We start from the raw sequence: 24,460 nt of genomic DNA, 5'->3' as shown, positions 1-24,460 counted from the left end.
GATGATAGTTTATAGGTATATACTTATCTCCAAACTCATTTAGTAGCTGTTGTTGTTTTTGAGACAGAGTCTCACTCCGTCACCCAGGCTAGAGTGCAGTGGTGCAATCTCAGCTCACTGCAACCTCTGCCTCCCGGATTCAGGCGATTCTCATGCCTCAGCCCCTGAGTAGCTGGAATTACAGGCATGCTCTGCCACACCTGGCTAGTTTTTGTATTTTTAGTAGAGATGGGGTTTCACCATGCTGGCCAGGCTGGTCTCCAACTCCTGACCTCAAGTGATTCACCCACCTTGGCCTCCCAAAGTGCTGGGATTGCAGGCGTGAGCCACCACACCCAGCCAAACTCATCTAGTTGTATATATTAACTATGTACAGCTTTTTGTATGTCAAAAAAATTTTTTTAAGAAAGAAAAGCCCCATAGAAGGACTAGCCCTCTTTAGTTGACCAGGCAGATCTCAAAGTCACAGCAGCCCAGGGGCTGAGCATGATGCTTGATGACACCTGAAAGCATACGGCAAACAATTGTTTTCTGTGATGTCCCTGTCATGAATATTCATTTAAGAACTAGAAGGGAAAGAGGCCCAATAAGGTCTGTGATTGTCAAAGTAACTTCTTGGGAAGAAAAGAGGAATAAGGAACATAAAACAAGCAAATAAATTTATTTGTACCATGAAAAAAATTACCTTAGAATAAAATGTTTTGTTAAACAAAACCATAAATCAGTATAGTGTAATCCTGGAGTAACTGTGATATATCTCGATGTCTTACACTTGGTTATATTATTCAGCTGTTTATTTTCTAGTCCTCAGATCAGAGCACAGACTTTATAAAGGCATTCTTTTCTTCCTTACCTTCATTTTGGCAGAAACAAAATGTACACTAGACCTCACCTTGCACCACTGGGAACAGTAATTTGATGGCAGTTTTCAGATCTTATTCCTACTATCATCTCAAGTACAATAATTAACAGCACAGTGGTTTAACAGTGACTGCAAACCAGGCAAAATACAAATGTCTGGAGTAAATGTCTTCCTTGAGTAAAATACCCTTTTAAAGGAGGACTGTCTGGAAGTCAACCCAACTGGGATTATTTGGGACTGGAACCTAAGCCTGCGGTTTGGTGGCTACTTGACTCCCCATTAATATTCCCACGGAAGAACATGCAGGCCAAGGAAAGGAAAAGTGATTAGCTCAAACATAGCCCTTTCCTTTCCTACTATATACCCATGAGACATACTTTTGAAATGCATGGTCAGTGCAAGGGGCCCCTATTCACTGCCCTCTGCAGGGCCATGTAGCAGTTTAAAAAATAATGCTCTACTTTAAACATATTCACACCGTTTGACCTAGGAATTCTATTTCTAACATTCGTCCTTGAAAATTAATACAGGCTGGGCACGGTGGTTCACGCCTATAATCCCAGAACTTTGGAAGGTCGAGGTGGGCAGATCACTTGAGGCCAGGATCAGATAACTTCGAGACCAGCCTGGCCAACATGGTGAAACCGCGTCTCTACTAAAAATACAAAAATTAGCTGGGTGTGGTGGCAGGTGCCTGTAATCCCAGCCACTCAGGAGGCTGAGGCATGAGAATCGCTTGAACCTGGGAGGCGGAGGTTGCAGTGAGCTGAGATCATGCCACTGCACACCAGCCTGGGTGACAGAGCGAGACTCTGTCCCAAAAAAAAAAAAAAAAAAAAAAAGAAAAAGAAAAAAGAAAGAAAAATAATTTGAAACACGGAAAATGATTTATGAACCAAAATGTCCATTAAAACTTTATAATAAAAATAAAACCGACCTATCACACAAAAGAGGAATAATTAAGGTACATTAATATTATGGTATTTCATCCAGTCATTTAAACATGGTATACAGGGAAACATTTATGCTAAGATGTTTTAAAATGTATAAAAATTGGTTTTACAGTGAAATTACTATACATGTATGAAATAAAATATATAGAAAGCAAAAACCATAAACCAATTTACTAACATTAGTTGCACTGAAGTGACAGATTTCTGGTTGATAAAAACATTCTTTCTGAATTTTTCCATTCCCCACAGTTTTAGAGTAAACATATAGGACGTTTACAACCGGAAAAAATACTTTTCTAAGATTTCAAGATATCTGTTCCCATGTCACTCCCAAATGATTCAGCTGACTTGAAACATTGAAACTATAAAAGTGGCCATCACTGTCATTCAAGATGGACATTAACCAGAGCTGAAAGAAATCCAGAAAAGTGCAATATAATCAATTAAACAGAGACATCTCTGTGTCATAAAGACAGTCGCACAGACTTTGCATTTTGGAAAAGCCAAAGATCTAAGCAGTGATTCTTAACTGAAGACAATTTTGCCCCCCCCAGGGGACATTTGGCAATATCTGGAGACATTTATCGGTTATCACAATAATTGATGTTACTGGCATCTAGGGATAGAGGTCAGGAGGGATGCCGTTAAACATCCTACAAGGCACAGAAATAGTCCCCTACAATGTGCAGACTTATCTGGCTCAAAATGTCAACAGTGCCAAGGCTGAGAAATCTTGCTCTAAAGGGATGAAACAGAAATCAATGAGCTATTAAGAAGAGTGTAGAAATGATCAGCTTGATTTTATTCATCCAATTATAGAATTAAATAACAAAGGGGTATTCCCTGAAACCTAAAGGCAATTTTATCAAAAGGAAAACAGGACTTTCAGCCATGCTTAGGGAACTAACTTAGAGAACTCATCAGTTCAAGAAGTGAAACAAAATGAAAATGTAAACAAGTTCAAGAAGGACTGAGATAAAAATCAGAATAAATCTGTGATGGTATTTGGAAGTAATCCTTAAGGAAAGAAACATCTGAAAGTCTAGCTCCCTTAGGCTTTCAGGAAAATATTCAGAGCCATTATCAGAGACAGACATTTCAGTTAAGCCACTGGTCAGACCAGAGCAGCATGTTTCTTATATCCCGAAGGGTGAATTCCTGCCCATGTGGTCAAAGAACCTCCCAAACTTTTTTTTTTTGAGACAGAGTCTCACTCTGTCGCCCAAGCTGGAGTACAGTGGCGCGATCTTGGCTCACTGCAACCTCCGCCTCCCAGGTTCAAGCAATTCTCCTGTCTCAGCCTCCCGAGGACTGGGACTACAGGCATGCGCCACCACACCCAGCTAATTTTTTTGTATTTTTAGTAGAGACGGGGTTTCACCATGTTGGTCAGGCTGGTCTCGAACTCCTGACCTCAAATGATCCGCCCGCCTGGGCCTCCCAAAGTGCTGGGATTACAGGCGTGAGCTACTGCACCCGGCCCAAACTATTTCTTTGTTTTGTTTTGTTTTGTTTTGTTTTCTGAGATGGAGTTTCGCTCTTGTTGCCCAGGCTGGAGTGCAATAGCGCAATCTTGGCTCACTGCAACCTCCGCCTCCCTGGTTCAAGCGATTGTCCTGCCTCAGCCTCCCTAGTAGCTGGGATTGCAGGCATGCACCACCATACCTGGTTAATTTTGTATTTTTAGTAGAGATGGGGTTTTGTCATGTTGGTCAGGCTGGTCTCGAACTCCTGACCTCAGGTGATCCACCCACTTCGGCCTCCCAAAGTGCTGGGATTACAGGCATAAGCCACCACGTCCGGCCAACTATTTCTTAAATAGAAGTCATGAATGCTATAAATGTGTTTCTTGAGCTGATTATCCTCTGCTTTGGGGCAAACAATCCTAACCTCTATAGTAAGACAGTTTAAGTGCCTGTGCTTTAATTCAGAATTCACCCCTCTCTACAAAACAATTCTATCCCTGCTTCAATGTCATGGAAACAAAACTCTATCCTTCAAATCTGTTCATCTTGTGTATCTTTCATTTCTACCACTTCTCAGTAGTCCAGTAATTAAAGCCATAAACATCTATCTAGAGATTGAATAAACAAAAAATAAGAAGAGAACATATTCTACATATGTCACTGCTTCTCCTCACCCCTAACAAATCTTTGAAAGAGATAGCAGAAGTTGGGATAATGAACTTTTCTAAATGAAGACTTTATCTCAGCATTTCAAAGCTTATTTTTTAAAATTAAGATATACCATATGACTCATGAATCTTGTGACCAGATGAGGAGTCTGGAGGTCAACTCTTTTCCAAAGCCCTCAAAAAACATCCAAGGAAAAATAAAGGAAGAACATACAAATTTACCTAGGCAGATTCCTGCCACAGACAAGTATTTCTTTGTCAACCACAATTATCTCTGTCACCAGGAACCAGGCTTACCCTCTTTAATATAAAGACTTGTTAGCAAATTATTTGGGAATTTCAAACTCTGTGAGTAGAAATCACCTTGCATGAGAAGGCCAGGTTGGGAAGTGTGTCTAAACCAGGGGTCACCCAACTTTTTCTGTAAAGGACCAGATAGGAAATATCTTTGGCTTTGAGGGCCACATGGTCTCTGTCACAACTACTCAAATCTGCCATTGTAGCATGAAGGCAGCCATAGACAGTACATAAACAAATGAACACAACTCTCTTCGGAATAAAACTTTATTCCAGCCGGGCGCGGTGGCTCACGCCTATAATCCTAGCACTTTGGGACACTGAGGCAGTGGATCACCTGAGATCAGGGGTTTGAGACCAGCCTGGCCAACATGGTGAAATCCCCTCTCTACTAAAAATACAAAAATTAGCCAGGCATGGGGGCACATGCCTGTAATCCCAGCTGCTCGGGAGGCTGAGGCACAAGAAATGCTTTAACCTGGGAGGCGGAGATTGCAGTGAGCCGAGATCGTGCCACTGCACTCCAGCCTGGGCGACAGAGTGAGACTGTCTCAAAAAAGAAAAAAACAGAAAGACTACAAGTTCTCCAAACACTTGGAAACTAAACATCACACTTCTCTCAATACAGTGACTTGAATGCCTGAATGTAGATGAAAATACAGCATATCAAAACTTGTGGCCGGGTGCAGTGGCTCACGCCTGTAATCCCAGCATTTTGGGAGGCCGAGGCAGACAGATAACCTGAGGTCAGGAGTTCGAGATCAGCCTGGACAACACGGCAAAACCACATCTCTACTTAAAATACAAAAATTAGCCAGGCGTGGTGGTGAATGCCTATAATCCCAGCTATTCAGGAAGCTGAGGCATGAGAATTGCTTGAACCCAGGAGGTGGAGGTCGCAGTGAGCCAAGATCATGCACTGCACTCCAGCCTGGGCAACAGAGTGAGACTCTGTCTCAAAAAAGAAAAAAAAACTTTATTATACTATTTGAATTTCATATAATTTTCATGTGTTATGAAATATTATTCTTCCTTTCATTATTTTTCAATGATTTAAAAATGTAAAAACCATTCTGTATGCTTGTAGGCCATATCAAAATAAGTGACAAGCTAGATTTAGCTCACACGCTGATTTGTCAACCTCCGGTCTAAACTAAAAAAAATGTTTACTGAAAGAAAGAACATTGAAAATTTGAAGAATACAATTGAATTATCACTCTCCTAACACTCCCCACCCCAATCCCTAATTTCTCAGCTCACTGTTTGGCTGCTATAGACCTCACTCGGTGGTCAACTCTATAATGTTATCTTGACAGATTTTAATGGTGCTAGCCCTTTCTAAATTAAAATCTGCTTTATGTCTTTTTTTTTTTTTTTTAGACGGAGTCTCGCTCTGTCGCCCAGGCTGGAGTGCAGTAGCGCAATCTCAGCTCACTGCAAGCTCCGCCTCCCAGGTTCACGCCATTCTCCTGCCTCAGCCTCCCAAGTAGCTGGGACTACAGGCGCCCGCCACCACGCCCGGCTAATTTTTTGTATTTTTTAGTAGAGACAGGGTTTCACCGTGTTAGCCAGGATGGTCTCGATCTCCTGACCTCGTGATCTGCCCGCCTCAGCCTTCCAAAGTGCTGGGATTACAGGCGTGAGCCACTGTGCCCGGCCTGCTTTATGTCTTTTGAAGAAAAGGCCCCCAGTTCCAATAACTTTTAAAAATTTTGCAGTACATTTTCTTAATTTATGTACATATATTCAAAAATTTCAGCTGGGCACGGGGGCTTACGCCTGTAATCCCAGCACGTTGGGAGGCCGAGGCAGGCGGATCACTTGAGGTCAGGAGTTTCAGACCAGCCTGGCCAACATGGTGAAACCCCGTCTCTACTAAAAATACAAAAATTAGCTGGGCATGGTGGCAGTCGCCTGTAATCCCACTTACTCGGGAGGCTGAGGCTGGAGAATTGCTTGAACCCAGGAGGCAGAGGTTGCAGTGAGCCGAGATCGCGCCATTGCACTCCAGCCTGGGCAACAATAGTGAAACTCCGTTTCAAAAAAAAAAAAAAAAAAAAAAAATTTCAACTACCCAGATAAGTCAACTTGGTATCTTAAGAATAAAAAGATATATACATGTACAAAACAAGTCCCTTTAAGATAAAATACCATTTGCAGATAAGACCTCTTAAGAGTAAAGTAAATCAATAAGAGATGCTTTTACTATGAAATACACAATTCTTTCTCCAGATAGAAACTCAAACGATTTAAAAAAACGATTTCCCATTGTTTTATCTGCTGCTGTGAGTTGTTTCCACACTGAAATTTTTACCCACATGTACCCATTATACATTTACAATAACGTTCATGTGATTTAAAGTAATCATCCCAATTTATTAGAAGGAAAAACAACCTTTATCCCAGGTTTTCGTAACAACGTAACATGCCTTATATGTGAGGCATGTAAACCTCACATATAAGGTTAAACACACAGAAATGACCCCAAACTTACTGAGCAAGTTCAAATCCACTGCACACCAACTTTTAATACTGTGCTAACAGAGGGCAGGCACTGTACTGGCCACCAGAAAGAGGACAGACAAGGAAAAAACTGAGAAACCAAGTCCTTTGGCTCCCACAGAGCCAGGGTCACAGGACCAGGTGCACCAAACACTGTGGCTTGGGTGATCACAGCCTAAAACTGTTAACCAATGATGTGTGACAAACCAATTAGAGGGGGGTTTGAGTTAATCCCAAGATCAATCAAATAGGATATGGGTGTGACATGAAGGAGGGTTACTGTTAAACCCTCACCTCTGGTCAGATCAATGCCCATGGCAAAGGAGCAGTCAGACATGGAAGTTAACATACAAGTCAGTACTGACTTTGAAGGCAACAAAAAATGAGGGAAAATGAAATGGCAACAAATTTCCCTGGGGAGAAATCAAAGGGTCTGGTAGATAAATGCCAATACATGTTAAATCCCAAAAAAATGTATTTGGCCTCCCCAGCAGAGGTTCTCAACCCCCATTACACATGGGAATCATATGGAGAACTTACAAAAATCCCAATGTCCAAATTGCACCCATTACCAATTAAGTCAGAATCTCTCTTTTGGAAGAACCAGTTTTTAGATGGATTGCTTTTTCTGTTTTTCTGTTTTTGATTACATTGACTTTTGTTCTTTTATTATTTCCTTCCTTCACTTACTTTGGGTTTATCTTGCTCTTCTTTTTCTAGTTAAAGTGGGAGCTTAGATTATTCATTTGAGGCCTTTCATCTTTTCCTCATATAAGCATTCAGTGCTCTAAATTTCCTTCTTAGCACTCATTTAAGTTACGCCCCACAAGTTTTTCTTTTTGAGATGGAGTTTCGCTCTTGTCACCCAGGCTGGAGTGCAGTGGAGCGATCTTGGCTCACTGCAACCTCTGCCTCCCGGGTTCGAGCAATTCTTGTGCCTCAGCCTCCTGAGTAGCTGGGTGCCTGCCACCACACTCACCTAATTTTTGTATTTTAAGTAGAGACAGGGTTTCGCCATGTTGGCCAGGCTGGTCTTGAACTCCTGACCTCAGGTGATCTGTCCGCCTTGGCCTCCCAAAGTGCTGGGATTACAGGCGTGAGCCACTGCGCCCTGCCACGAGTTTTGATATGGTATATTTTCATCTACATTCAGGCATTCAAGCCACTGTACTGATGAGAAGTGTGACGCTTAGTTTCCAAGTGTTTGGAGAACTTCTTGTAGTCTTTCTGTTTTGTTTTGTTTTTTTCCTTTTTTGAGACAGAGTCTCACTCTGTTGCCCAGGCTGGAGTGCAGTGGCACGATCTCAGCTCACTGCAACCTCCGCCTCCTGGGTTAAAGCAATTCTCGTGCCTCAGCCTCCTGAGCAGCTGGGATTACAGGCATGTGCCACCACGCCCGGCTGATTTTTGTATTTTTAGTAGAGAGGGGATTTCACCATGTTGGCCAGGCTGGTCTCGAACTCCTGACCTTAAGTGATCTGTCCGCCTTGGCCTCCCAAAGTGCTAGGATTAGAGGCGTGAGCCACCACACCCAGCCGTCTTTCTGTTTTTGATTTCTACTTTGATTCTATTATGGTCTGAGAATATACTCTATATGATTTCACTTCTTTTCCATTTGTTGAGGTTTGTTTTATGACCTGGGATGTAGTCAACCTTGGTGAATGTTGCTTGTGCACTTGAAAAGTAAGTATATTATGCTGTTGTTGGGTGAAGCATTCTATAAATGTCAATTAAATCTGGTTGACTGGTGGTGTTATTTCTTCTATATCTTTGCTGATTTTCTGTCTACTGGTTCTATCAATTACTGAAAGAGGGGTATTAACATTCTCAAGCATAATTGTGGGTTTGGGTTTGTCTATTTCTCAATTCAGGTCTGTTGGGTTTTGCTTTGTGTTCTTTGAAGCTCTGTTATGTGGTGCATACACATTTAAAATTGCTATGCCTTCTTGGTGGATCGACCCTTTGTATCATTCTTTTAGTCCCTGGTAATTTTCTTTGCTGTGATATCTAATTATCTGATATTAGTATAGCCACTCCAGTTTTCTTTTGATTGGTGTTTGCATGATATTTTTTTTCCATCCATTTACTTTTTATTTTGAGATACGGTCTTGCTCTGTCACACAGGCTGGAGTGCAGTGGCACAATCGTAGCTCACCATAACCTCCAATTCCTGGGCTCAAGCAATCCTCCTGCCTCAGCCTCCCAGGTAGCTAGGACTACAGGTGTGCACTACTGTGCCTGGTTAATTTTCCATTTACCTTTAAACTCACTGTATCATTACTTTGAATTGGAATAGACTGAAATGTGTCTACTCCATCCTGTCTGGAATGGGAAGTTTGCTCTCTGCACTATTTTTGCAACTCCTGTCTAAATTTATTATCTCAAAATCTCTTAACTCAAAATAAAAAATTAACTCAAAATTTAAAAATTAACTATTAAAAAAGCAAGTATATGATAAAAAGAGCAGTTTATTAATGTTCCTACATATCTGGAAAGTATTAATTTGAGAAAGAGAAAGAATCAACCTATCATTTTGTGAGATTTTCACTTACTGTACTCTTCCAGAGTGAGGAAACAAACAGGCTAAGAAACGGGTAAAACTTACAAGCCTGGGGATAATTGGGAGGCTGACCCCCTATCTGTGGGCCCAGAAGAAAGCAAGTCACTTTGTAACAAGGAAGTATATCTATTTTTCCTCAAAAGATAAATATTCACCACACCTGGTATTCCTGGTTTTGCCTTGGGAGCGGGGAGCTGTTTTCTCAGTCCTTGCATTTTCTAGTCTCCCTGCCTGGATTTTAGTCATTTCACTACTTATTAGCATTCTGAAAGGTTAACAGAATTTAAAATGTGTAACTCGAGAAGAAATAAAAGGCTAATCAGTTAGTTACAACACTTGTTAGTTCTGTAAAAGCAATGATGAGTGAGAAAGCTGGAAAGTACTGACTAAAATATGGCTTTCTGAGAATTAGTTGAGTTCAGTCATTTTTGCTGTTCATGCTCCAGTAGCCGCCCCAGGAAGCCAGATTTGGAAACAGTACCTGAGTCATTTGAGACAAAACAACAAGTTACCCCTGAATTGTTTTAAATGTTAACGAAAGAGATCACTAAAAGATCTAAGTCATGGATGGAACCTAATTACCTCCCCTTGGCCCTAGAAAACCAAAAACATCCAGATAGGAATATGAAACACAGAAGAAAGCAGGTTTTTCCTTTCTATTCATTTCTCCTATTATCTTAGCCCTATTTTAATTATTCTGAGTTAACGCCATTTTACAAAAATGGACAGATAAAAAATTAAACTCAAAATTTTGAAACAAAGACTCTTTGTTGCTGTGTGTGGAAAGTGACCATCTTGTCAAAAAAATACCTGTGAGCCTACAGCATGATTGATTGTTCAATGTGATGAAACTTTCCTGGACCCTAAGCCTCAATATTTTGTTATCTGAAAATCTGCAGTTTAATTTCATCCTTCAAGATCAAAGGCAAATAAATTAACTTGGTCTAGTGATTCCACAAATCTCTAGAGAGCTGCCAGGCAAGGCAGATCCACAGAATAACTCATTAACTTATAATGCTTAAAGCAACTTTGGGAAAACTGTTAGGAATTGAACACAGGCTAAAACTCCTGAAGGCACTCACCAATGTATCTTTCTACACAGTTGACCAGAAAACAGCTAAGCTCTGCTTGACTACTCCAGTGACCAGGAGCTCACTATCTAACAAGCAATTTATTCTAATGTCTAGACAGCTCTAAACATATGGATGATTTTCTATGAACAGAAAAAATCTGCCTTTTAACTTCCAAATTCTGCCTTTATGCTGGATTTCTTTCTGTTAACAGGTTCCAACCTCTCTACCTTTATTCCCAAACCATCTCTTGACCCTACTTCATTTTTCTCTAGCTAATATCCACTTTCTTTCTTTCTTTGCCTTCTCTTGCAAACTCCTCAAAAAGTAGTTTACAGTCTGTAACTCCTTCCTTACTCTCAATCTCTCCTTAATTGCTTCTATCTCACCAGAATTCTTGGAAAAATGTGCATACTTCCCAACCCTCATCTTTAAGTATCTGTATGCTGCATTTGACACGCTGATCACTCTGGCCTTCTTGAAACTACTCCTTTGGCTTCCAGAAGCTTTTTTCAAGTTCCCTGTGTTGCTAACACTTTTTTTCTTCCTCTAACCATCTTGTAGGTGATGGTGGTTCCCTGAAGTGCCCTACCCACATGCTTATGGCTCCCAAAACAAGGTCCTCTGGTCCAGAGCTGGAGATAGAAAGGAAAGGCGAAAGAGACAGGAAGGTAGGAGGGAAAAGCAAAGCAAAGAAGGAAGGAAGAAAGAATAGGAAAGATACATCAACAAAAAGAAAAAAGTCCTGACAACCAGATACATCAAGCTGGAAGACGATCAACACTGAGGAAACTATGTTCTGTTTTCCACTAGTTCTTCCTACCTTCTAACTGGTCTCAGTTGGCACCTTCCTCTATGCCATCACAAAATCTAGAAAAATCTCTGAACTCTTTCCTATATCTTACCCTGGAACATCCAATCAATTATTAAGCCCTGTCAGTTAACCTCTAAAATAATCTTCCAAATCAATGTTCCTTTCCCATCTCAGCTGTCATTTTCTTAGTTTAGGACCTATCTATTTCCTCAAACCTAGAATGCAAGAGCAGTTTCCTAACTGGCTTTAAAAGTCCTAATCTTGTTGTCCCCAAATTTACCCTCCACCCAACTGCCAGAGACCTATCTAAAACACAAATTGGATCATGTGCCTCCACGGTCAAGAGATTTCAATGGCTGTCCTTTGCTCCTAGGATCTTTATTAAGGTCCTCATCAAGGCCAACACAGCCCTCCACAATCAAGCCATGTCTACTTCTGCAGCTTTATCCCTCACCACATTCTGCCCCAGTTTTATGCTCAAACAATGCTGAACCTCTGCAGTTCCTACCTCTAGGCTTTATACCATCCCTTCTCCCAGGAGGACCCTCTTCTTGCTTCCTCACTTTTAAAACATATAAACTAATTCTTATAAGGCTCAGCAAACAGGAGCCTTATCCTTATAAGGCACAGCAAATCTCTTCTAGGATGCCTCCCCTACTATGACTCACCCACACTTTGACAATCAACAGCAGTATGCTCTCAGAGTGGCCTGTGTATAGTACCATCACTAACTTAAAGTATTTTTAACCACTAATATTATCAAATCTCCGAGAATGAGTTCCTACCAGGTATGGACTGGACTTTAAAAATTTTGTAATGGATGTTATTCTTCCTTTATCTCTTTGAAAATCTTCCAGATTTAGACAGTGAGCCAATAATACATTTGTCCCTGGTCCTAAGTCTCTCTCTGCTCTCCTGCCTGCCACTCTGAACAGAAGCAACATCTTTTTACTGTCTCTGTTCATGGGCAATCTCTGACTTCACAGTCAGGGATCATTTCCTCCATTCACTGAATGTTTTAATCCCATTATCTACAGAAATACAATTCCCAGCCATCTCTACCTTTTTCTGGACCTAAGAGTCCAGAATGTCCATAACTATAGGCCTGTAACTAATAATCCTCACTTATTGTCTGATCTGTTTCTGGTCCAGAGATTTATACTTTCTTGACCACAGATATGTCTAATTTTTTACTTTATTATCACTTTTAAAGAAAGGAGATATGAATTTAAAGTATGAAATCAGAGCCATCTTGACGAGAAGCCCTCAAGTTTAAATTTTATGACTATTACACAACCTTTTAGATCGGGGTCAGCAAACTACAGCCCATGGGCCAAATCTAGCATACTGCTTATTTTTAGTATGGCCTGGAGGCTAAGAATGGTTTTTACATTTTTAAATGGTTGAAAACAATTTAAAAAATATTTTGTGACATATAAAAATTATGTGAAATTCATATTTCAGTGTCCATAAACTTTTATTGGAACACACCCATGACCATTCACTTATGCTGTTCCAGTTACTGACTGTTGTGCAACAAACAACTGCAAAATTTAGTGGCATAAAACCACCACCACTTTATCACTTCATGAATTTTGTGGGTCAGGAATTCAGATAGGCACAGCAGTGATGACTTTTTTCTACTCCACAATGTATGGGACCTCAGTTGGGAAGATTCAAACAGCTGGATCATCTGGAGACGTCTTCACTCATCTGGCATCTTTGACTGGGATGGCTGGGCTTAGCAGAGACTACCTCCAGAGTGCCTATCTAAGGCCTCTCTGGCATAGGTGGCTTCTCAATAGTCAAACTTCTTACATGGCAGCTCAGGAGTCCTAGTATGAGTGTTCCAATGAACAAGGCAGATTGCCTTTTATGATTTAGCCTCAGAAGTCTCATACTCTATTGTATTGAAGTAGTCACAAGCTCACCCAGATTTAAGTGGAAGGAGGCACAGATCCTACCTCCCGAGGAGAAGAGAATAAAAAAATTTGCAGCTGTGTTTTAAACCTTCATTTATGGGTTTCACATCATTTTATTGCAAGGATCCAGGATTAATGACTGATTTAAAATGTGATACACATCCAGGTCTCAGAGCATCCAAGCTTCAAAACAATTTAGCTTCACAAGAGGACCATCATCAGGGTCATGACATGTGAACAATTTTAATACTTTCCTATTTGCTTCTGGTCAGTCTTTAATTCCAAACACATAGAACACATGTGTTTTTAAGTGTTATAGGAGTAGACTGGTGCCTTAAAAAAGAGTAATTTGTATCTGTGTGATAGATAGCAAAAATGGCCCCAATTCTTTATCCATGCCCTTTCCTTATGGATGCTCCTTGAATCTGGACTGGCTTTGTGGCTTGCTTAGGGCAATCGAGTACAGTATGAGGTGATGGTGTGCCAGTTCAGAGCCTAGGCCTCAAGAGGCCTTGCTGCTTCTATTCACTCTTAGAAACCTGACCAACTACCATGAGAACAAGTCTGGGCTAGCCTGCTGCAGGATGAGAGATGCATAGCTCTGTGCTCCTACCTCCTACCACTGCCCCAGTTGACAGCCGTTGGACTTCAAAAGCAGAGCTCCCTGCTGACCTGTAGTTGACCATAGGCATAAGGGGAGACCAGCTGAGAACAGCAGAACTGCTCAGCTGAACCCAGCCCAAATGACTGACCCATAGAATGAACTAAGTAATTACTATTTTAAGCCACTAACTTTTGAAGTGGTCGTTATACAGCAATAGTTAACTGACAGAATTTGAAACACAGCTTTTAATGATTAACTGTAGAGTGGAAATTTCATCACAAACCTCAGTCGTACTACACTAAATCACTTTGGGTACTAATTTTCCAAAGTAGGCATTACTGCTGGGATCCACAGAGGAAGGCACTGTAGCTAATGCCAAGATCACAGATGGGTCAAGCACTTGACCCAAAAGAAGTACATAACAGCAGCCATACGAGTAGCAAATGTCACTCTATCTGGAAGTTTCTAATCCTGTCTGATGCCAAGGCAGCCATAAGGTACCTCCCCTGTCCAGAGATAAGCGTGGCACCTGCAACCAGTGGTTAACTATTTAACTGGAATGTCAGAGTAACACATCAGAGCACCCCTATAATCCCAGCACTTTGGGAGGCCGAGGCGGGTGGACCACAAGGTCAGGAGTTCGAGACCAGCCTGGCCAACATGGTGAAACCCCGTCTCTACTAACAATACAAAAATTAGCTGGGCGTGGCGGCAGGCACGCATAATCCCAGCTACTTGGGAGGCTTAGGCAGGAGAATCGTTTGAACCTGGGAGGCAGAGGTTGCAGTGAGCGGAGACTGAGCCAGTGCACTTCAGCCTGGGAGACAGGGCAAGACTCTTTCTCCAAAAAAAAAAAAAAAAATTAGTTTATATTAGGTTGAACCATATGAAACTGCCATTGTTGCAAGTCAAAATGTTTGCATATCAGCAATTTCATAGGGTTCAATCTAATACTGCAGGATTTGGCTCATGAACAAAAATAAGCAAAAAATAAAAGCTTCCTTCCTTTGCTTCTCTTAGTCTCCAAAGCCCTCACATATTCTAGAGAAGTTTAATTCCTATGAACTTTTAAGGACATATATTAAGAAATACATAAAGCCTCGCTTATAAATACATTTTTTTTTCTCAATTCAAAACACCTAGTTTCCTTTAGGAGTTGTATTCCACTTACCAGACTTAAGGTAATTAGCCTGTGGGTCCCCAGTGGAGTATTAGGTCTCTCTACCTACATCTCAAATTTCTAGATCAGATCTGAGCACCCTCTTTTCATGTGCCATTTGTACACGGCGAACCAGGATTCCAGAATGTTGTTTAACACAAGAGGAGGTTGTTGACAAAAAAGTATTCTGATTATTACTATCAGTGTGTGCTTGGTGTCAGTGGGGGGAGGATATATTTGATTTTATTCTAGTTTCTGCTTTTTCTGCCCCAGAGTTGCAACCAGATGGCTAGACTATCATCTCTGGGTCTCTTGTCAGTCAGAGCAGGAGAAGCCTAAGAGGCAGGATTCCTACCCCTGCATATGTGACTAGAGTGGTGAGGCAGTTTTCCTCCATCTTCCTGGGCAGCCACAACAAGACCCTGTGAGGAGGCGCAGGTGCTTCGAATAACTGGCACTCTCCCAGGCCACAGCCGAAGCCACATGCTCAGAACAGAGGCTCAATTTTAATCCTTCTGAGACACCATTTCAGGGATTGGCCAATATACAAACATGTAATCAATGTAATGCTTTTGTGTGCTCGTGTGGGTCTTGAGCTTGTGAATTTTTTGCATTAACGGTTTTAGAATTTTCTGCCTAGAAATTTTTAGAATTACCCAAGTATAAACGCAGTCTTTTTTATGGTAAATGTTATTTCATGAGAAACACTGCATACATAATTTCAGCTTCAATGGTCAGAAGATCCTGTGCTTTCAAGCTTACTGTTAGAAATGCAAAACAGGGACACCAAAACTCCATCATCCCACCTCAGTTCCCTCAGTACAGGATGTTTCCCTCCTTCAAAGGTTTTTTATAAGATCTTTCGTCCAGTGTATTTTACATAACCAGCTTTCTCTATTTCCCAAAGAAAATTATTGCACAGTCTAATTAAGTTTTCCCTTAGGAAACACCACTCCTGACACACAAAGGAAGACAAAACAATGGTGGCAGACTGTGGAAACAGAAATATTTCATTTTTACCAGCTGAAAAACTATAAAAATTAAAACTACCCCTAAGCTATTAATATGCAACGATTTGAAATATCAGCAATTCACAGGAGACTGGTAAAAAGTCCTTTGTTCATTTACTGTTTTTATCAAGTTCTGAATTCAGAACCCCACATAACTACTTTGACAACTGATAGCATCACAACCACCTAAAAACAAGTTCAGAGCGTTCCGTTGTAGACAGTATAAATGATGCTTGTTTTTGCATGATCTGTCTCAGAAGTACAGCCAAGGAGGAACTAAGTCTCACATGTTCACTCTCACAGGGCCCATCAAAGAACTCAATAAAGATCTGATGAAGGAACTTAGGCTGGAATTTGGAAAATGTGGATAACACCAATTTCTAGTCCATTATCATATTATTTTTATTATAATGGCTTTGTAGTAAGTTTTAATTTGATAAAGCAAACTCCCCTCACAAATTTTCCTGCTTCTGGGGCATTTATTCTTTCCAAAATGCAAACCTGATTATGATACTTGATGTAAAACCCTTCTGTTGCTTCCCAGTGCTCACAGACTCCCTTTTAGGCCCCTGCAGAACTGCGGTTTAGTAGAGTGGAGAGTGCGAGTTTAGGGTGAAATCTGACTGCTCAACAGGAGAGTCACTGCCACCATCAGAGAACCTCTCTCTCTGACCTGGTTCCTTACCAGGCTCACTCTCTCCTTTAAATATGCATTGAACAAATAATGGTTTTTGCAAGGGTGCTGTGTAAGGGGTTCCCAAGATCACCCCTAGGTTCAGTGATTCACAAGGAAGACTCACAGGATTCGGCATATAATCATACTCATGGCTATGATTTATTACACTGTAAGGATACAAAGCAAAATTAGCAAAGGGAAAAGGCTCATGGGATGCAGTGCAGGGGAGACAAGGCACAAGCTTCTAAGAGTCCTCTCCTAGTGCATACACAGAACACAATTTCCCTAGCAACAAGTTGTGATGATACATGTGAAATGTTGTCTACTAGGGAAGCCCACTAGAGACTCTGCCCCAGGGTTTTTATTGGTGACTGGTCACATAGGCACCCTCTGACTGGTACAGACCAAAATTTTAGACTTCAAGAAATAAAGCAGGTATTCAGCATAAACCATATTACTTGTATAAACAATTCCGGCACAATGAGCCACCCTTATCCGTTCTGGGAAGGTCAAGAACCATCCCCAAAATAAAGTTCTTATTCGCCAGCCCAGAGTCAACCTTGTAAGCAGGCCTTTTCAAAGTCAGGTCTGCTATGATAACATTTTTTTTTTTTTTGTTGCACAGATGCCAATCATTAGCTTGGCTGGGCACCTACACATTCTGCCCAGACCTGGATGGGGTAAACAAAACTGTGACAGTACTCTGAGCAGGGGACTAAGGGAACAGGAATAGAGGAACACCCATCCTTTTCCAGTGGCTTGAAAGAAGGGGCAATGAGGACTGCTTCTTGGGAGAGGCAATGCCTGAGCCCAGTTTGAACATGATAGATATTGTGGTGTCCATAGATTTAAATGCTAACCAGGTAAGTGAGCTTGGTAAATTAATGAGACTAAGCTGTATCTCAGAAAGTGAGTTACCCATATGGACCAGGGCTATTAATCACTTTGATTCCCTGCTTTAAACTTTGTATGGCTTCTAAATCTCCTGCAAAGCATGCAGCTCTGTCAGAGGTGGTGCCAACCTAATTTTCCAGTCCTACCTGTGATACTCTGCCCCTTCAGTCTCTGTGGTCCCAACATCCGGTATTCTTTTCAGTGCCTGGAGTATGTTCCTTTCTACCTCCAATACTATCCTACCCCCTACTCTGGACTGCTCATCATCACCCTATCCTACTTCACATGGCTATCTCCTAGTCATGTCAGATTTCAATCCAAACAACATTTCCTCAGGATAGCCTTCTGTCCCCTACCCCAGAGTAGGTAGGGACCCATGTCATTTGCTTCCCAGCACCAAGTAACTTCTCCTTTATCACTGTGGGCACATTAAAGTCCATTTCCTTACACATTGACACTTCAAGAGGGCAGAGACTATGCCTGTGTTGTTCACTGTGATAACCACAGAGCCTAACACGGTGCCTGGTACATACTGGGCACTCATCAAACATATGAATGAAGAATGAATCAGGGCTCACTCCCCTTCCCCAACACTACACACCTCCTGTGTCTAAGGCACATGGCCTAAGCTAGGTCGACAAGTCAGCCAAGTGTTTTGACAGAGGTATTGGGAAAGAGGCACTGCATTGCTACAGATACAGTCTGCCTGAGAGTGAAACTAAATCACAGGAACACACAGGTGAGAAAAGGAGATTTGGGGCTGCAATAACAGCCTGGATGTTGCCATTCCTAAAGTCAGCAGCCTGTGGACTTCATTTACCAGTAAACCCTCTTTCTGTTACTTAGGCTAATTTAAGTCAGGACTCTGAGATGTATAACTAAGAATCCTTATAGAAAAATAGTAACTGGAATTAGGCACGTGGTTGGTCCTAAAGAACAAGAGAAAGACTACCAGGAAGCCTAACTTGTGATGTCCCAAGCTACTGGCCTAGGGAGTCCTTACAGTTCCTTAAATTATAAAAAGGGTTGGTTATTGTTCAGGGAGAAAAGATGCCCTGGCTGGGAAGTAGAGCACAAGCATCCTGGCTGGTCATTATCCTAAAAACTACTTTATTTGTGGAAACTCAAACCAGATCTCCCAATAGGCTACAGAGAGACAAAAATCTCCCTTATTTTCAATGGGGGTAGATATAATTATTGCAAATAAAAAGCTTGAATATCACTTCAAACTAGATTCTAAACCACATTAATAAAGCATTGGCTGGATAAGCACTTGAAAAAGAAAACAGTCACTAGCAGCCAGCATAGGCTCTCTAAGAACATGACACACCCAACTTACTTTAGGCTCTTTTCTGTTCCAGTCACTCATTTATTGAGAAAATTGTTTATAGGTACAGTAATACGTGGAGGCAGCTGACAGGATTTTCCTGCTGATAGATTAAAAAAAATGCAGGCTGCAGGCAGGTAATCCTGAAGGTAGGAGTCTTCTGGTGGGACACAGAGCTATGCCCTTGGCCCTATCTTGATCAAAACTTTGATGAGTAACATAGATGAATTTAGGGTTATTGACCCTAAGAGGGATAACATTCATCAAAGAAAAGAGGAGAATTCAAAAGCAAATATTATAAGCAAAAACAGGATGAAATTTAACTAGAACATATGTAAAGTCACTGCAATTAAATTGTTTCCCAAATACAGGATGATAGCAGTTTCAGCTTTTGATGTCAGTAAACACCACAGTTTAGTGATGCAGCTACTAAACTCGGGCTGAATTCAGAAACATAATGTCTACCTCAGTTGGACAACAACTGGACAACCATGTTCCAATCTGAGTACCATTAATGGTGACCAATGAAAGTGCATCCAGAGAGGGGAACCAAGACTAGAAAAAGTTTGGGGATCATATCACATAAATGACCATTGAAAGGGTGAGAGATGGTGTAGCCGCCTGGGAAAGCAAAGACAGAATCCTATAAAACTGAAAATATCCAAACCCTATGACCCAGCAATCCTATTTCTAAACATATATCTGGAGAAACTCTCACAAATTTGCACAATGATCAACATAGAACTGTTTATAAAAGCAAAATTCAGAAAGTAGTTAGGTTTCCATCAATAGAACGGCTAGACAGAATAAGGTTCATTCATACTCTGGAATACTTTGCAGCAGTTAAAAACAATGAAGTGGGTCTATAATCAATCAGGATAGACTAAGTTTGCCAAGGTAACAAAAGGAACCTAAAATCTGAGTGGCTTAACACAACCAAAGTCTGTTTATTCCGTATGCTACATATTTAAAGTGAGTTGGTAGGAGAGCTTATTGTAGTTATTCTTGACCTAAGCTGTCAGAAGCTCCATCTCTACCGGCCAGGGGAATGGAATGTGGCAAATCTCATATTAGCTCTTAAAATTTCCATTTGGAAGTGCATTCATTACTTTTACTGACATTTCAATGACCAAAGCAAGTCACAGGGCCACGCCTAACCTCAAAAGGGACAGGAACTACAATCCTACCACATGCCCAAATGGCAGACAGCCAAAAACATCATGTGACATATAATAATACATACTATGCAAAGATTAATAGAAAACATATGAAAAGATCTAAGATATTTTGCTGTGTAGAAAAAACAGACACATTCATAATACCACCATTTATGTAAATTAAAACATAGATCCAAAACAAATCTATATATCGTTTATATCTATCTATCTATCTATCTATCTATCTATCTATCTATCTATCTAATCTATCTGAAACTGAGGAGGGAGGAGGATGACATTAGAAGAGGTGACCAAAGGAGAAATAAGCATTTCTGTAATGTTTTAGTCCCTTTATTTAAAAATGGTGGCTCATGCCTATAATCCCGGCACTTTGGGAGGCTGAGGCAGGTGGACTGCTTGAGCTCAGGAGTTTGAGATCAGCCTTGGCAACATGGAGAAACCTCATTTCTACCAAAAATTAAAAAAAAATTAGCTGGAAGTGGTGGTGCACATCTGTGGTCCCAGCTACTCAGGAGGCTGAGGTGGGAGGCTCACTGGAGCCCGGGAGGCAGAGGTTTCAGTGAGCCGAGATCATGCCACTGCACTCCAGCCTGGGCAACAGAGACCCTGAGAAAGAAAAGAAAAGAAAAAAGAAAGGAAAGGGGAGGGGAGGGGAAGGGGAAGGGGAGAAAACAAAGGGGAAAAGGAAAAGGAAAGAAAAGAAAGAAAAAAAAGAAAAAAGGAAGGAAGGAAAGAAAGAAAGGAAAGGAAGGGAAGGAAGAAAGTAGCTGGGCATAGTGATGCACACCTGCAGTACCAGCTACTTGGGAGTCTGAGGTGGGAGGATCGCTTGAGCCCAGGAGTTCGAGGCTGCACTGAGCCATGATTGCGCGACCGCACTCCAGCCTGGCTGACAGAGTGAAACCCTGTCTCTAAAATAAACAAGCAAGAAAAAAAGAAAAAAAGATATTACAAAATCTTAATTGTTGATAATTCTGGCTGGTAGAGAATATGAGTATTTATCATATTATTCTTTGAATTTTTCCATTATATTAAAATCCTTGAAATAAGTTGTTACATGAATCAGAAATGTTTTAGCTTAAAAGGCCACGGGGGCCAAGCGCGGTGGCTCAGCCTGTAATCCCAGCACTTTGGGAGGCCGAGGCAGGTGGATCACTTGAGGTCACGAGTTCAAGGCCAGCCTGGCCAACATGGTGAAACCCCTTGTCTACTAAAAATACAAAAATTAGCCAGGTGTGGTGGTGTGTGCCTCTAATCCCAGCTACTTGGGAGGCTGAGGCAGGAGAATCACTTGAACCCGGGAGGCAGAGGTTTCAGTGAGCCAAGATGGCACCACTACACTCCAGCCTGGGCAACAGAGCGAGACTCTGTCTCAAACAAAACAAAACAAAACACACAAAAAAAGGCCACGGGTGGGAGAAAGGGGAATGGGAAGTAGGAAAATAGATAGCTTTAAATATTTTGGACAAAAGAGATTTGCTGTGTGTGACTATGGAGAGGAGAGCCAGGAATGATACTGACAGTTCCTGAAAGGCAGATTTTGGCTTGGGAATAAAGAACCACCAATCTGTTAAGGTTTTTGGTCTTATTTTTTTTAGTAGCCTCAAAACTGTATGGAGGAAAAATATGTATTCTTTGGGGTAAAAAATAATGTTGTCAAGAGTCAGACAACCACCTGTCTGACAAATACTGTGGCAAGGATTCCTGCACTGGGAAGGAATTTGGATTTGGTAATCTCCAAGTTCCCTACAATTCTCACGTTCCATCAACCTTGGACTGGAACCTCTCAGTTTCTAAATTCTAGTTCACAGGCTCTGGGAAATGCACCACAGTTATCCCAAGGAAAACTTCAAAAGATAATGCAACAGTCTGAACACAATACAAATCTGAATTGTGTTACCTGGGAATATTTCACAATCAATAAGGAATAAATCACTTAATTGGGACTAATAGTTATTATAGGCAAGAGAGTCACAAGAATTATACTGGCCTTGAATAAAGCTAGCTTTAATTCTCACACCCCGATCAACCTTATGCACATAATTAAATCAGTATTATTTGGAGAACTATTGCCTGTTTAATTACTGTTTCTGTGACTTGTTATTTGTTCTCCCAGTACCAAAGGCAAATTGCTCCCACAGCTAAAGAGATCTCCACAGAAACATCCCACTGAAATAAACATTCCTTTATAAAATGGAAGAGTAAGAATAATGAATGTGTTTTCTTTTAAACTAGTTGCTTTGGCTGCTGTCAAAAGAAAAAATAAAAGTCTTAGCAATGGAAAACAAGTATCACTTCTATGAGGAGGGCCAGTCTGGCATAAAGATAGTGAGGTAAAAACTCAAGCAGCTCTCTGCTGCTACCCTGCTCCCAGCCAAGAAGATAAGGGATTTCAATAGGAGTAAATGAGACAACATGTTATAGCTGAGGATTTTCTTTCAAAAAGGTACCATACCTTTTAAACCAGTAAGGTTCTTTGCTGTACACAGTTAATATATGCCTAGAAGGTTATAAGTTGAGCAGCCTTTGCATGCCTGGAACCTGACAGATCTCAACAGACACCTGGGAAGCCCACTGTGGCTTTTAAAGAATGCATATTTCTGGCTGGGTGCGGTGGCTCACACCTATAATCCTAGCACTTTGGGAGGCCAAGGTGGGCAGATCACTTGAGGTCAGGAGTTTGAGACCAGCCTGGCCAACATGGCGAAACTTTGTCTCTATTAAAAATATAAAAATTAGCTGGGTGTGGTGGTGCATGCCTGTAATCCCAGCTACTCAGGAGGCTGAGGTAGGAGAATAGCTTGAACCCGGGAGGCAGAGGCTGCAGCGAGCCGAGATCGCACCACTGCACTCCAGCCTGGGCAACAAAGTGAGACTCCATCTCAAAAAATAAAAATAAAAATAAAAAATAAAGAATGCATATTTCTACCACAAAAATACTGAAAGCATGCTGCAACATAAAAACATGTGCTCTGCCCATGTGTTTTTGCTCGTTTAGGATTTCCTTCCTTCAGTGATTCTGTACCACATAACTAACAATAGGAAATACTTTCATAAAAGTGACTGTTATTTAGTAGTTTCTTCTATTAACTTTCAAAACTAAAACCAAACCAAACAAAACCAAAAAACAGCCCACAAAGCTCTTAAATATTCCCAAGTTAATGAGGTTAGTATGGCTTAAATATACCTTCTTTCTAGACCCACATTCCTGACTGTGCTGGAGTTTCATGTGTCCTGGTCTCTGTTACCCACCAGAAATACCATGTGAGGCAGAAAGCCCCAATATGCTGGAAAAGCAGCTGCCTAGACCACCACAATGCCTTGCAGAGACACAGTTGGGGCCCTAATCTATGAGCAAAACCTGATTCCCACCCCCCTCCAGGTTTCTCCATCCTTCAAATGCAAGCACTTAACATCCTAAAATGTCACAAAGCAGTGCATTTATCCTTGGGAGATAGAATTTGGTGATAAAATGCAAGACTGTAATGTTAGGAAGGACAGAGTGTGGGGAAAGCCAGAGACAAACAGGAGAGGGAGGAGGAGAAAGGGGTTGAGGAATGAAGTTCTGCAGGGCAAAGGTTACTGGAAAACAGCAGGACAGAAGCAAGAGACTACGACAGAGAGGCAGGGCCAAGGAAAACAACGAGGTCAATGATATGCTACACAAAGACAAAGAACTGTGCTTCCAGATGAGATTACCACATATGCCTTTAGAGAAGTGGTTCTGTTTTTCAGGGGGTCATTATGTATTCAGCCAATAGTGCAGCTAATCTGCTTACTCTTAGCAACTTTTGTCCACCTAACTGCACCAAACACTACATATCTGAAACTATTATTTCAGAGATATAAATACTTTAAGGGGGAGGGAAAGCAACCCAAAACATCCATTAAAATATCAGTGAAGACTTCCGGTTCCAAGTAAGATGGTATAAACACACACGTAACCTTTCTGTTGACCAAATGCAACTATAAAATCTGTAAAGAAAATATGGGCAACTATTAGAGAACTCTTAAAAGTATATAACAGCAGGCGATCAAGAAAGAATGCCAGAATGCGGAGTACAACTGAACTGGCAGTGACTTAACCACTTTTTTTCTTCCAGTATTCACTGGCCTGAATTCAACACAATGAAATCTGAAAGTGAGCACTGTGGTTAGAGCACATGTTCTGGTTCAAGGTGCTTTTTTGGAAAAGGGAACTACTAATGCTCAGAGAAACTGGAGTGGTGAGGTGGCGGTGGGGGGCGGTGGGGGGGGAATCCCCTGGGTTTTTCTCTCCTTTTTCTCCCCTTTCTAATGTCTAGAAAATCCCATGGTAGAGGCTGTGGCAGCAGCAACAAAAAGTAACTGGCATAGGGAGACTGTACGAGCTAAAACTCTGAAAGAGAGAGAAGAAACTTCTGTCCATTTGGTGGAACTATGGCTCCAAAAGGGCAAAGCCAAATCCCATTGCTTTTTTTTTTTTTGAGACAGTCTCGCTCTGTCACCCAGGCTGGAC

At 41.3% G+C, this 24,460-nt stretch overlaps 1 protein-coding gene across 2 annotated transcripts in view, besides 1 other annotated feature; it reads right to left on the bottom strand.

Annotated features, from left to right (window-relative positions):
* JADE3 (jade family PHD finger 3) overlaps window positions 1–24,460 on the bottom strand; it is a 148,942-nt gene that overhangs the window by 83,824 nt on the left and 40,658 nt on the right. The gene's annotated exons all lie outside the window — the stretch shown is intronic.
* Window positions 13,601–13,780: an enhancer, noted in NCBI's record as "active region_29579". NCBI's record gives its function as "activates an Ori minimal core promoter by ATAC-STARR-seq in GM12878 lymphoblastoid cells {active_cell/tissue: GM12878}" and the evidence as "EXISTENCE:reporter gene assay evidence [ECO:0000049][PMID:35858748]".

Source organism: Homo sapiens, chromosome X (assembly GCF_000001405.40).
Source record: "Homo sapiens chromosome X, GRCh38.p14 Primary Assembly".
Lineage (NCBI taxonomy): Eukaryota > Metazoa > Chordata > Mammalia > Primates > Hominidae > Homo > Homo sapiens.
Note: the sequence above shows the minus strand (reverse complement) of the source record. Positions and strands in the feature narration are given on the sequence as shown.